This window comes from Homo sapiens, chromosome 10, assembly GCF_000001405.40.
Source record: "Homo sapiens chromosome 10, GRCh38.p14 Primary Assembly".
Taxonomy (NCBI): Eukaryota; Metazoa; Chordata; class Mammalia; order Primates; family Hominidae; genus Homo; species Homo sapiens.
In genome coordinates, this window is record NC_000010.11 from 62,130,250 (window position 1) to 62,144,198 (window position 13,949).

Sequence of the window (13,949 nt, forward strand, 5' to 3'; positions counted from 1 at the left end):
GTGGGTTTTCTTTTGGTGTAATGAAAAGATTCTGGAGTTATGTAGTGGTTGCTATGGTTTGAATGTGCTGCTCCAAAGTTCGTTAGAAATTTAATCTCCAATGTAACAGTATTTAGATGTGGGACCTTTAAGATGTAATTAGGTCATGAGGGCTCTGGCCTCACTAATAGATCATGAGAGTGGGCTAATTATTCCAAGAATGAGTTCCTGCTAAAAAGGATGAGTTCAGCCTGATTTCCACCCTGTCTTACACAGTCTCACCCTCTCTCACCATGTCATGCCTTCTGCCATGGTATGATGCAGCAAGAAGGCCCTCTCCAGATATGGCCCTTTGAACTTACTAGGCCCCAGAACTGTGAGGCAAATAAACTTCTATTCTTTATAAATTACTTAGTCTGTAGTAATATGTTACAGCAGCAGAATATGGACTAAGACAATGGTGATGGTTACATTAACTCTGTGAAAATACTAAAGACCACTGAATTGTACGATTTAAAATGGTGAGTTTTGTAGCATATGAATGATATTTGAACTTAAAAAGACCAATTGTAAAAATAATTTCTATTCAATGTCAAAGAAAACCAAAAAGGCAAAGGTCTAATATCTTTTAAAATTTATGTCTTTGTGGACAAGGAAAAAGGTTTTCCAATATTAAGATCACACCTAATGACTAAACTAGCAATGGTAATGAGTGCTAGGAAGTGCAAGAAACATTGTTTCCAAGGAACTCAATTGTCTTAGAGTTCCCCCAGAAATAGACCCTAAGACAAGCATTTAAGTGCAAAAAAAGTCTATTGGGAGGTGAAGGAAATACCAACAAGGGAGCAGGAAAGTGAGTCAGGGAAGGGAAGGCAGCCAATAAAATGTGCATTATCGAGCAAGTCACCACTGAGGGTAACTGGAGCTAGACTCTATTGGGGAACTCTGGGAGTCAGTGTAAAAATGTACTTTAGTCACGCTCACCCCTAGGTCAAGAAATTGAGATATTTATACTACAACGCTTGTCTTATTAATTGAGGCTTAGCTCCTCTAGCAGCAAGAGGAAGTCCTCAAGCAAAGAGAGGCAGATGCTGGTAGTTGGAGCTGGGCAGACTTGCACTGAAATGGAAAGGCCCTGACCATTCATATCTCTTAATTATAACTCTCTACAGATGGTTGTAGATTATGGATTTGGAAATAAAAAGACCTGGATTGGAGTTTTAGCTTCACTAGTTGGGGCAAGCCATTCAACTCCCTGGGGCTCATTTCTTTATATACAAAACATAGAAGAAAGGGAGTAAAACATATACTGCACAGGATTGTTGTAAGGATACAATGAAGTGATATATATGAGTGTTCCTTGCTATATAAAACGTAGTTACTAGGTTTTTTGTTTTTTATTTTATTTTTTAAGACATGTGGATGACAATATGCTGAATAAAGATTAAATTTATAGAACTGGAATGCAGTCATGCTAATTTTCTTAACTCTTGAACAATAAGCATCTATGTTCAGAATGATAACCCAGGGACTCTGCCAGATTGTATTGCTTTAAAGGAGGCTTGGTTTTGTTCATCCACCTTTGCAGTCAACATACAGACTATTGTCATAGAGACTGCTAAATGTTTACCACAATTTGTTTTCTCTTCTTCCTGGGCTCACAAATAGATGAATTCTCCAAGCCTCACTAATAATGAGGGAAAGCCATGTGACCGAGTCCTAGCCAATGGAAAGGAATGTGTTCTGTTCCCTCCCTTGGTCAGTCAAACCTCTCATAAGCCCTTTTAGGTGCTCTTCCCTCCCCTTGCGATTGGCAGAAATGGAGAAAATTGCCGGAGTGATTTTAGAAGCCACACGTGCTGAAGATGGCATAGCCTTTGTCAGCATAGGCCTCTGCTATGGTTTGGATTTATATCACCTCCCAAATCTCATGTCGAATCGTAATCCCCAGTGTTGGAGGAGGAGGCTGGTGGGAGATGATTGGATCATGGTGATAGATTTTCCCCTGGCTGTTCTTGTGATAGCGAGTGAGTTCTCGTGAGATCCGGTTGTTTAAAAGTGTGTAGCACCTCTGCCTTTTCTCCCTTCCTCCTTCTCTGGCCATGTAAGATGTGCCTGCTTCCCCTTCATTTTCCATCATGACTGTAAGTTTCCTAAGGTCTCTTCAGCCATGCTTACTGTACAGCCTGCCTAATTGTGAGTCGATTAAACCTGTTTTCTTATAAATTACCCAGTCTCAGGTAGTTCTTTATAGCAATGTGAGAACAGAGTAATACAGCCTTCAAATGACTTAATGGAGGAAGGATGGCCCACCACAATGGTCACCCTGTCAGTACAGTTACATGAGTAAGAATGCCTGACACTTCTATTGGGTTCAAGTCACTATACATTGTTGGGTTTGTTATAGCAGCTACCATTATCCTAACAATTAAACTCATATATATTAGAAAGATTTCTGCAAAGAGGGTTTTTGTTTAACCCTGGATTAATAAGTTTTTATTAAGTAGAACTGACTTTTTCAAACATTCTGATTAACTGTGGTTGTGTTTTGGAGGGAGTTATGACTTTTTGGGGCAGTGTGCTACATACTCAGTGTATTGTGAAGTCAACTCCAGGCTTTTTAAAGCTGTCTTCCAACTGGAAAATGCATCATATCCTTGGCTAGCCCTACAAAGACAGAGCAGGAAATCATGCCCCCACTACTTCAAGCACTTTCTACCTTGGAACCTGTACACACTTTCTACCTTGGAACCTGTACATTTAGGTGTCTCTTATATGATGGCAGGTAGGAGGTATTAGACACATCTTATATGAAAGACCATTAGGGGTGAGACAATCTATTTCTTCTTTCTTCCCATCTAATGAAAGTTCTACTGAGGGAAGCAGCTGACACTGTGTGCCTTTTTTTTTTTTTTTTTTGAGACAGCCCAGGCTAGAGTGCAGTGGCATGATCTTGGCTCACTGCAACCTCCACCTTCCAGGTTCAAGCAATTCTGCCTCAGCCTCCTGAGTAGCTGGGACTACAGGTGCCCGCCACCACGCCTAGCTAATTTTTGTATTTTTAGTAGAGATGGGGTTTCACCATATTGGCCAGGCTGGTCTCAAACTCCTGACTTTATGATCCGCCCACCTTGGCCTCCCAAAATGTGTCCTGCTTTTTAAAAATTTTGTTTACTTTTTCCTTACTTATAAAAAGAATAAACATCACATCTGTTCCAGTTTTCCACTGATGAATAACAAACCATCCCAAAATTAGTGGCATAAAACAACCATTTTGTTATGCTCATAGATTCTTTGGAATTCAGGCAGGGTGATACGGGAATGTCTTGTTTCTGCTCCAAGATATCTGGAACTTCAGGTAGAAAGACTGAACATCTGGGAGTTGGAACCATCTTCAGGTGGAAGCCTCTTCACTCACATGCTTGGCACCTGGGCCCAGATGACTGAAAGGCTGGGCTGTGTTGGGGCTGTTTACTGGAGACCCTGTCAATGTAGTTTGGGCTTTCTCACAGCATGGTAGGTAGTGTTAGGGTAGTTGAGGACTCCAAGAGTGAGTGGTTCCAGAGACCAAGGCAGATGGTGCAAGTGCTTTTATTAACCAGCATTAGCACTCACATAGAGTCATTTCCACAACACTCTTTGGTCAAAGCAGTCTCAAGACTAACCACATACAAAAAGAAGGGGCACAGATGCTTTCTGTAGCTGTGAAGAGTGTGACAGAATTTGCAACTACATTTTGAAACTGCTATAATCTCTAATCCCACCAACCAAATACAACTGCCATTAACATTGTGGTTTCTTTCTTATCAGTTTTTTTTATTATTATTATACTTTAAGTTTTGGGTACAGAACTTTGTACCCAATACTTTAAGTTTTGGGTTTGTTACATGGGTATACACATGCCATGGTGGTTTGCTGCACCCATCAACCCGTCATTTACATTAGGTATTTCTCCTAATGCTATCCCTCCCCTAGTCCCCCACCCCCCGATAGGCCCCAGTGTGTGATGTTCTCCTCCCTGTGTCCATATATTCTCATTGTTCAACTCCCACTTATGAGTGAGAACAGGTGGTGTTTGGTTTTCTGTTCCTGTGTTAGTTTGCTGAGAATGACGGTTTCCAGCTTCATCCATGTCCCTGCAAAGGACATGAATTCATCCTTTTTTTTATGGCTGCATAGTATTCCATGGTGTATATGTGCCACATTTTGTTTATCCAGTCTATCATTGATGGGCATTTGGGTTGGTTCCAAGTCTTTGCTATTGTGAATAGTGCTGCAATAAACATATGTGTGCACATGTCTTTGTAGTTGAATGATTTATAATCCTTTGGATATGTACCCGGTAATGGGATTGCTGGGTCAAGTGGTATTGCTGGTTCTAGATCCTTGAGGAATCGCCATACTGTCTTCCACAATGGTTGAACTAATTTACACTCCCAGCAACAGTGTAAAAGCATTCCTATTTTTCCACATCCTCTCCAGCATCTGTTGTTTTCTGACTTTTTAATGATCGCCATTCTAACTAGCATGAAATGGTATGTCATTGTGGTTTTGATTTGCATTTCTCTAATGACCAGTGATGATGAGCTTTTTTTCATATGTTTGTTGGCTGCATAAATGTCTTCTTTTGAGGAGTGTCTGTTCATATCCTTTGCCCACTTTTTGATGGGTTTTTTTTTTTTTATTGTAAAGTTGTTTAAGTCCCTTGTAGATTCTGGATATTAGCCCTTTGTCAGATGGATAGATGGAGAAAATTTTCCCTCATTCTCTAGGTTGCCTGTTCACTCTGATGATAGTTACCTTTGACTTTATAACTGGTATGAAAAGCTTTATTAGCTTGAGGTACAAGTACATTCAGGTTTAATTGTTTTTTTCTGTTAAAATTGAGGTATTGACAAAGCCTGGTGGCTCACTCCCATAATCCCAGCACTTTGGGAGGCAATTCTTTGTGAGAGAGTTGCTTCAGCCCAGGAGTTCAAGACCAACCTGGGCAACTTAGCAAGACCCTGTCTCCAAGAAAAATTTTTTAAAATTAGCTCGGCATGATGGCACATTCCTATAGTCCCAGCTACTTAGGAGGATGAGGTGGGAGGATGGCTTGAGCCCAGGGGGGTCGAAGCTGCAGAAGCTATGGTCATACCACTGCACTCCAGCCTGAGCAACATAGTGAGACCCTGTCTCTAAAAAAAAAAAGTGTAACTTATATATCATATAGTAGATAAATCTTTTTTTTTTTTGAGATGGATTCTGGCTCTGTCGCCCAGGCTAGAGTGCAGTGGCACAATCTCAGCTCACTGCAAGCTCCACCTGCTGGGTTCACGCCATCCTCCTGCCTCAGCCTCCCTAGTAGCTGGGACTACAGGCGCGTGCCACAACGCCCGGCTAATTTTTTGTATTTTTAGTAGAGACGGGGTTTCACCGTGTTAGCCAGGATGGTCTCGATCTCCTGACCTCGTGATCCACCCACCTCGGTATCCCAAAGTGCTGGGATTACAGGCGTGAGCCACCGCGCCCGGCCATAGTAGACAAATCTTAAGTGTAAGGCTGACAAATTTTTACATGTTTCTACAAACTTGAAACACACCCAAAATATATACAATGTTTTGTCACTAGAAGTTTCCCTCAGAGTCATTTCCTAGTCATCTCCCCTGTCCCAGAGCTAGTCACTCTTCTGACTCTTACTGTCACTGATTAGTTTTTCCTGTTCTTGAACTTCAAATATGAAATGAAAGTGTAGTACTATTTTATATCTACTTCTTTCTTTCAATATAATTCTTTAATATTTATCCATGGTGTTACATGTATCCATAGTTTGTTCTTTTTTATTGATGAACGATATTCTAGAATATGGAAATTGACCACACAAGATTTATCCATTCACCTCTTGATAGACGTTGGGTGATTTCTAGGTTTAGGCCATGATGAATATGAATAAAGTGCTACAAACATTTTTTTTTTTTTAAAGAGACAGGTTCTTGCTCTGTCATCCAGGCTGGAGTGCAGTGGTATGATCATGGCTCCGTAGTCTCAGACTCCTGGGTTCAAGCCATCCTTCCACCTCAGCCTCTCAAGTAGTTAGGGCTACAGATGTGAGCCACCATGCCAGCCAATTTTTTAAATTACTTTTTTGTAGAGAGAGGTTCTCTCTTTGTTGCCCACATTGGTTGCAAACTCCTAGCCTCATGTGATTCTCCCCCCTCAGCATTTCAAAGCACTGGGATTACAGGCGTGGGCTACCATACCTCGCCTAAATATTCTTTTTTTTTTTTTTTTTTTTTTTTGAGAAGGAATCTTGCTCTGTCGCCAGGCTGGAGTGCGGTGGTGCAATCTCGGCTCACTGCAACCTCTGCCTCCTGGGTTCAAGAGAGTCACCTGCCTCAGCCTCCTGAGTAGCTGGGACTACAGGCAAGCCACCATGCCCGGCTAAGTTTTTGTTTATTTATTTATTTATTTGAGACGGAGTCTCGCTCTGTCGCCCAGGCTGGAGTGCAGTGCTGTGATCTTGGCTCACTGCAAGCTCCACCTCCCGGGTTCACGCCATTTTTCTGCCTCAGCCTCCTGAGTAGCTGGGATTGCAGGTGCCAGCCACCTGGCCTGGCTAATTTTTTTTTTTTTTTTTGTATTTTTAGTGGAGACGGGGTTTCACCGTGTTAGTCAGGATGGTCTCGATCTCCTGACCTTGTGATCTGCCCGCCTTGGCCTCCCAAATTCCTGGGATTACAGGTGTGAGCCACGGTGCCCAGCCCAAACATTCTTTTATATGACTATTTGTGGACATATTTACTTAGTTCTTTTAGGTACATGTTTAGGAGTAGAATTTCTAGTTCATCGGGTAGATGTACATTTATCTTTAGTGGTTATTACCAAATGGTTTTATTAAGTGATAATCTCCATTCCCATCAATGTTTAAACATTCTAGATGTTTCACATCCTCAACAACATATGGTGTTTCCAGTTTTTATAATATTAGTCATTCTAATGGATATACACAAGCATTTTAGTGGGTTTTTAGTTTACATTTTCTTGAAGAATAATAATGTTGAGTACTTGTCCGTATGCTTATTAGTCATTTGGATATCCTCTTTTGTAAATTATCTGTTCAAATCTTTTGCTAGTTTTTCAGTATAATTTGGGGGTCTTCTTAATATTTTTAGAAAATCTTTATATAATCTGGATTCATATATTTACTTTCTTGATGAAGTCTTTTGATAAACATAAGTTCTTAATTTTAATCAATTCCAATTTATTAACATTTTATGATTAATACTTTTTGTGTCCTATTTAAAAATTCTTTGCCTACTCCTAGATCATTAACATGAATTCACATATTTTTCTTCTAGAAAATTTTAGCTTTAGCTCTATATCCATTTTGCATCAATTTTTGCACATGGCATGAATAATGAGTAAGAAACTTTAAAATATATATGAATATGTCTTCCAGCACCATTTATTAAAAAGGCCAACCCTTCTCCACTGAATAAAGGGGTACCTTTTCTATAAATCCAATGACTATATATGAGTGGGTCTATTTATGACCTCTCTATTATGTTCTATCACTTCACATCTAGCCTTGTACCAATATCACATTGCCATAATTACTGTAACTTTATAGTAATATTCTATGCAGAGAAGGAGGGCTGGAGATTGAGTTCAGTCACATGACCAGTGATTCAATCATCCATGCCCATATAGTGAAACCCAATAAAAACTCTGGACACGGAGCTTGAGTAAGCACTTTCCATCCCATTGATATGCTGGGTAGGTGATGTGTCCTGAGGATAAGGCGCTTCCTGACCTCACCCATATGCATCTTCATTTGGTTGTTCTTGGTTTGTATCCTTTATAATACAATTGTAATCAAAAGTAAAACACTTTCATGAGTTCAGTAAGTCATTCTTTTCGTTTGTTTGTTTTTGAGATGGAGTCTTAATCTTTCACCCAGGCTGGAGTGCAGTGGCATAATCCCGGCTCGCTGCAACCTCCGCCCCCGCAGGTTCAAGCGAGTCTCCTGCCCCAGCCTCCTGAGTAGCTGGGATTACAGGCGCCTGCCACCATGCCTGGCTAATTTTTGCATTTTTAGTGGAGACAGGGGGTTTCACCACCTTGGACAGACTGTTCTTGATCTCCTGACCTCATGATCCACCTGCCTTGGCCTCCCAAAGTGCTGGGATTACAGGCGTAAGCCACCACGCCTGGCTGAGTTCTGTAAGTCATTCTAGTGAATGATCAGGCCTAAGAGGATAGTGGGAACCCCAAATCTGTAGCCATTTGATCAGAAGTGTGGGTAGCCTGGAAACTGGGAGCTTGCAGCTAGTATCTGAAGTGAGAAGAGATTTGTGGAGGACTGAGCCCTTAACCTGTTAAGTCAGCATCAGAAATACATTGCAGGTGTGGACATATTAAGGACTGTAATGTCTCTTGAATAACTTACCCCTTTATCATTATGTCATGTTCCTCTTTATCGCTGATAATATTTCTTGCTTTTATGCATGATTTTTTCTGAAATTAATAATAGCTATTCTAGATTTATTTTGATTAGTGTTAGCATGCTCTTTCTCCATTCCTTTCTTTTTAATGTATCTGTATTTTTAAATTGAAAGTAGGATTATTTTTGTCAGCATATAGTTGGCTGTTAATTTTCTTATCCACTTAGAATCTCAGTCCTCTAATTGTGTATTTGGACCAATGATATTTAAAGTGATTATTGATGTAGTTGGATTAATACATACTATATTTGCCCTTGATTAACTGATCAATCGATTGATTTTTATCTTCCATTCTTTTTCTGCCTTCTCTTTTTTTTGTTTGTTTGTTGTTGTTGTTGTTGTTTGTTTTGTTTCTTGTGACAGGGTCTTGCTCTGTCACCCAGGCTGCAGTGGAGTAGTATGCTCTTGGCTTCCTACAGCCTCTACCTCTTGGGCTAAAGTCATCCTCCCACCTCCTCTTGAGTAGCTGAGACTACCAGTAGCATAGTCATGCCAGGCTAATTTTGTTTTTCTTTTTTGTAGAGATGAGGTCTCTCTATGTTGCCCAGGCTGGTCTCGAACTCCTGGGCTCAAGTGACTCTCCCACCTCAGCCTCCAAAAGTGCTGTGATTATAGATGTAACTACCCCACCCAGCCCTGCCTTCTCTGGTTTTAATTGCACATTTTATATCATTCCATTTTCTCTCCTGTCATAGCATATTAATTATATTTCTTCAAAAAATGTTTTTAGGTTGGGCATGGTGGCTCATGACTGTAATCCCAGCACTTTGGGAGGCCGGTGTAGGCGGATCATTTGAGGTCAGGAGTTCGAGACCAGCCTGGCCAACATGGTGAAGCCCTGCCTACACTAAAAATACAAAAATTAGCCAGGCATGGTGGCGGGTGCCTGTAATCCCAGCTACTTGGGAGGCTGAGGCAGAAGAATCACTTGAACTCAGGAGGCGGAGGCTGCAGACCACTGTACTCCAGCCTGGGTGACACAGCGAGACTCTGTCTCAAAAAAAAATTTTTTATAATTGTTAATGATTGCCCTAGAGTTTGCAATATACATTTTCAACTGAAGCCAGACAATTTTCAAATAACATAGTATTACTTCACAGACAGTTCAAGTACCTTATAACAGAATATTCCCATTTTAACCACAGCTGGTTAATTTTTGTATTTTTAGTACAGACAGGGTTTCACTATGTTGGCCAGGCTGGTCTCGAACTCCTGACCTTGTGATCCGTCCGCTTTGGCCTACCAAAGTGGTGAGATTACAGGCATGAGCCACTGCGCCCAGCCCTCTTGTTCTTTTTAGTGTCACTGTTGTTCATTTCACTTATCCATAAGGGATAATCACCCACTATGCTGTTGCCATTATTATTTTGAACATACTGTTATTCATTAGATAAATTAAGATCAAGAAAAAGAAAAGATATCATCTTCATTTATTCCCTCTCTAAAGCTCTTCCTTTCTTCATGCAGATCTGAGTTTTTTACCTGTATCATTTTTCTTCTCTCTGAAGAACTTCTTTTAACACTTCTTAGAAGTCAGGCCTACCGGTGACAAATTCTCTCAATTTTTATTTATGGGAGGAAGGCTTTATTACTCCTTCACTTTTTAAGGATTTTTTTTTTTTTAAGAGACAGAATCTTGCTCTGTTGCTCCAGCTTGGAGTGCAGTGGTGGTATCACAGCTCACTGCACTCTCAAATTTCTACGCTCAAACAATCCTTCCACCTCAGGCTCCTGAGTAGCTGGGACTACAGGCATGTGCCACAACACCCAGCTATTTTATTTTTATTTTTAGTAGAGACAAGGTCTCCCTATGTTGCCCGGGCTGGTCTTGAGCTCCTGGCCTAAGTGATCCTCCTGCCTCAACCTCCCCAAGCATTGGGATTACAGGCATGAGGCACCATGCCCAACCACATAATTTTATTGGGATATGAAATTCTAGGTTTTTGGTTCTATTTCAACACATTAATTTTCTTTAGCACACTCTTTTCTTGCTTGTATGATTTTTTTTTTTTTTTTTGAGATGCAGTCTCACTCTGTTGCCCAGGCTGGAGTGTAGTGGCGCAATCCCTGCTCACTGCAAGCTCCACCTCCCGGGTTCACACCATTCTCCTGCCTCAGCCTCCTGAGTAGCTGGGACTACAGGCACCCGCCACCACACCCAGCTCATTTTTTGTATTTTTAGTAGAGACGGAGTTTCACCTTGTTAACCAGGATGGTCTCTATCTCCTGACCTCGTGATCTGCCTGCCTCGGCCTCCCAAAATGCTAGGATTACAGGTGTGAGCCACCATGCCCTGCCTCTTGCTTGCATGATTTCTAAAGAGAAGTTGGATGTAATTCTTACCATTGTTTCTCTGTACATAAGCTCTATTTTTCTTCTCTGGCTTCTTTAAGGATTTTCTCTTGATCTTTGACTTTTGGTAGCTTGAATACGATATGCCTAGGTATAAATTCTTTTTTTCATTTTTCTTTTATTTATTTATTTATTTATTTGAGATGGAGTCTCGCTCTGTCGCCAGGCTGGAGTGCAGTGACGTGGTCTCGGCTCACTGCAATCACCACTTCCTGGGTTCATGCCATTCTCCTGCCTCAGCCTCCCGAGTAGCTGGGCTTACAGGTGCCTGCCACCTTGCCTGGCTAATTTTTTTGTATTTTTAGTAGAGACAGGGTTTCACCATCTTGGTCAGGCTGGTCTTGAACTCCTGACCTCATGATCTGCACGCCTCGGCCTCCCAAAGTGCTGGGATTACAGATGTGAGCCACCGTGCTCGGCCATGCTTAGGTATAAATTCTTCTAGTATTAATCCTGCCTGGTGTTCTCTGAGCTTCTTGGATCTATGGTTTGATGTCTGTTGTTAATTTTGAAAAATTCTTGCCATTATTATTTCAAATATTTCTTGTGATCCTGTCTCTCTTTGTTCTCTTTATTTATATTCTTACTACATATTAATCATTACATATTAATGATATTAATCATTTCTTATTTCTTGAATTCTGTCCTATTAAAAATTTTTTTCCTTGAATTTTAGTCTTCGAGGTTTCTTCTCCTTCCTCTCTCTCTCTCTCTCTTTCTCTCTCTCTCTTTCTCTCTCCTTCCTTCCTTCCTTCTTTGTTTGTTTGTTTCTTTCTTTCTTTTGACAAGGTGTCACTCTGTCACCCAGGTTGGAGTGCAGAGGCACAATCTCTGCTCACTGCAACCTCTGCCTTCTGGGTTCAAGTGATTCCTGTGCCTCAGCCTCCTGAGTAGCTGGGATTACAGGCATACGCCACCACACCTGGCTAATTTTTGTATTTTTAGTAGAGACAACATGGTTTCACCATGTTGGCCAGGCTGGTCTCAAACTCCTGGCCTCAACTGATCCACTCGCCATGGTCTCCCAAAGTGCTGGGATTATAGGTGTGAACCACCGTGCCTGGCCTAATTTTTGAGGATATTGACTTATCTTGAAGCTCACTGATTCTCTCCTTGGCCTTATCTACTCTATTGATGTGCCCGTCAAAGGCCTTCTTCATTTCTGTTACAGAATTTTTGATTTCTAGCATTTACTTTAGATTGTTAGATTGTTAGAGCTCTAGTCTTTCTGCTTGATAACATGATTTTTTTCTATTTTTTATTTTATTTATTTATTTATTTGTTTTTTGAGACAGAGTCTTGCTCTGTCGCCCAGGCTGGAGTGCAGTGGCACAATCTTGGCTCACTGAAAGCTCCGCCTCCTGAATTCACACCATTCTCCTCCCTCAGCCTCCCAAGTAGCTGAGACTATAGGCGCCCACCACAACACCCGGCTAATTTTTTTTGTATTTTTAGTAGAGACGGGGTTTCACTGTGTTAGCCAGGATAGTCTTGATCTCCTGATCTTGTGATCCACCTGCCTCGGCCTCCCAGTGCTGGGATTACAGTTGTGAGCCACCGCACCCAGCCACATGATTTTATAGCTAGAAAACCCCATAGTTTCTGCCCAAAAGCTCCTTGAACTGATAAACAACTTCAGCAAAGTTTCAGGATACAAAACCAATGTACAAAAATCAGTAGCATTCCCATAAACCAGAAAGCACCAAAACAACAGCCAAATCAGGAACACAATCCCATTCACAATTGCCATAAAAAGAATAAAATACCTAAAAATACACTAACCACATAGGAGAAAGACGTCTACAATGAGAATCACAAAACACTGTTCAAAGAAATCAGAGATGACACAAACAAATGGGAAAATAGTCCTTGCTCATGGATAGGAAGAATCAATATCATTAAAATGGCCATACTGCCTAAAGCAATTTAAAGATTCAATACTATTCCTGTCAAACTACCAATGACATTCTTCACAGAACTAGAAAAAATTATTTTAAAATTCATATGGAACCAAAAAAGATCCCAAATAGCCAAGGCCATCCTAAGCAAAAAGAAAAAAGCTGGAAGCATCACATTACCCTACTTAAAAACTATACTACAAGGCTATGGTAACTAAAACAGTGTGGTACTGGTACAGAAACTGACACACAGACCAATGGAACAGAATAGAGAGCCCAGGAATAAGGCTACGCACCTGCAAACACCTGATCATCGACAAAGGTGACAAAAACAAGCAATGATGAAAGGATTCCCTATACAATAAATGGAGCTGGGATAACTGGGTAACCATATGCAGAAGATTGAAACTGGACTCCTTCTTACGCCATATAAAAAAATCAACTCAAGGTGGATTAAAGACTTAAATTTAAAACCCAAAACTATAAAAACTCTGGAATATACCCTAGGAAATACCATGCTGGACACAGGAACTGACAAAGGTTTCATGATGAAGATGCTAAAAGCAATTGCAACAATAGCAAAAATTAGCAAGTGGGATCTAATTAAATAGAAGAATCTCTGCACAGCAAAAGAAACTACCAACAGAGTAAACAGGCAACCTACAGAATGGGAGAAAATTTTTGCAAACTGTGCATCTGACAAAAGTCTAATATCCATCTATAAGGAACTTAAACATATTTACAAGGAAAAAAACCAAGCAGCCCCATTAAAAAGTGGGCAAAGGACATGAACAGACACTTTTCAAAAGAAGACATACCTGTAGCCAACGTTCAACATCACTGATCGTTAGAAAAATGCAAATCAAAACCACAATAAGATACCATCACACACCAGTCAGAATGGCTACTATTAAAAAGTCAAAAAATAACAGATGCTGATAAGGTTATGGAGAAAAAGGAATGCTTATACACTGCTGTTGGGGGTGTTAATTAGTTCAACCATTGTGGAAACCAGTGTGGTGATTTCTCAAAGAACTAAATACAGAACTACCATTTGACCTAGCAATCCCATTACTGGGTGTATATCCAAAGGAATATAAATTGTTCTACCATAAAGACACATGTGTATGTTCATCATAGCACTATTCTCAATAGTAAAGACATGGAATCAACCTAAATGCCCATCAGTGGTAGACTGGGTAAAGAAAATGTGGTACACAAATACCATGGAATA

At 40.6% G+C, this 13,949-nt stretch overlaps 1 annotated feature.

The window, feature by feature from the left end:
• Window positions 3,627–3,696: a silencer, noted in NCBI's record as "silent region_2396". NCBI's record gives its function as "represses an Ori minimal core promoter by ATAC-STARR-seq in GM12878 lymphoblastoid cells {active_cell/tissue: GM12878}" and the evidence as "EXISTENCE:reporter gene assay evidence [ECO:0000049][PMID:35858748]".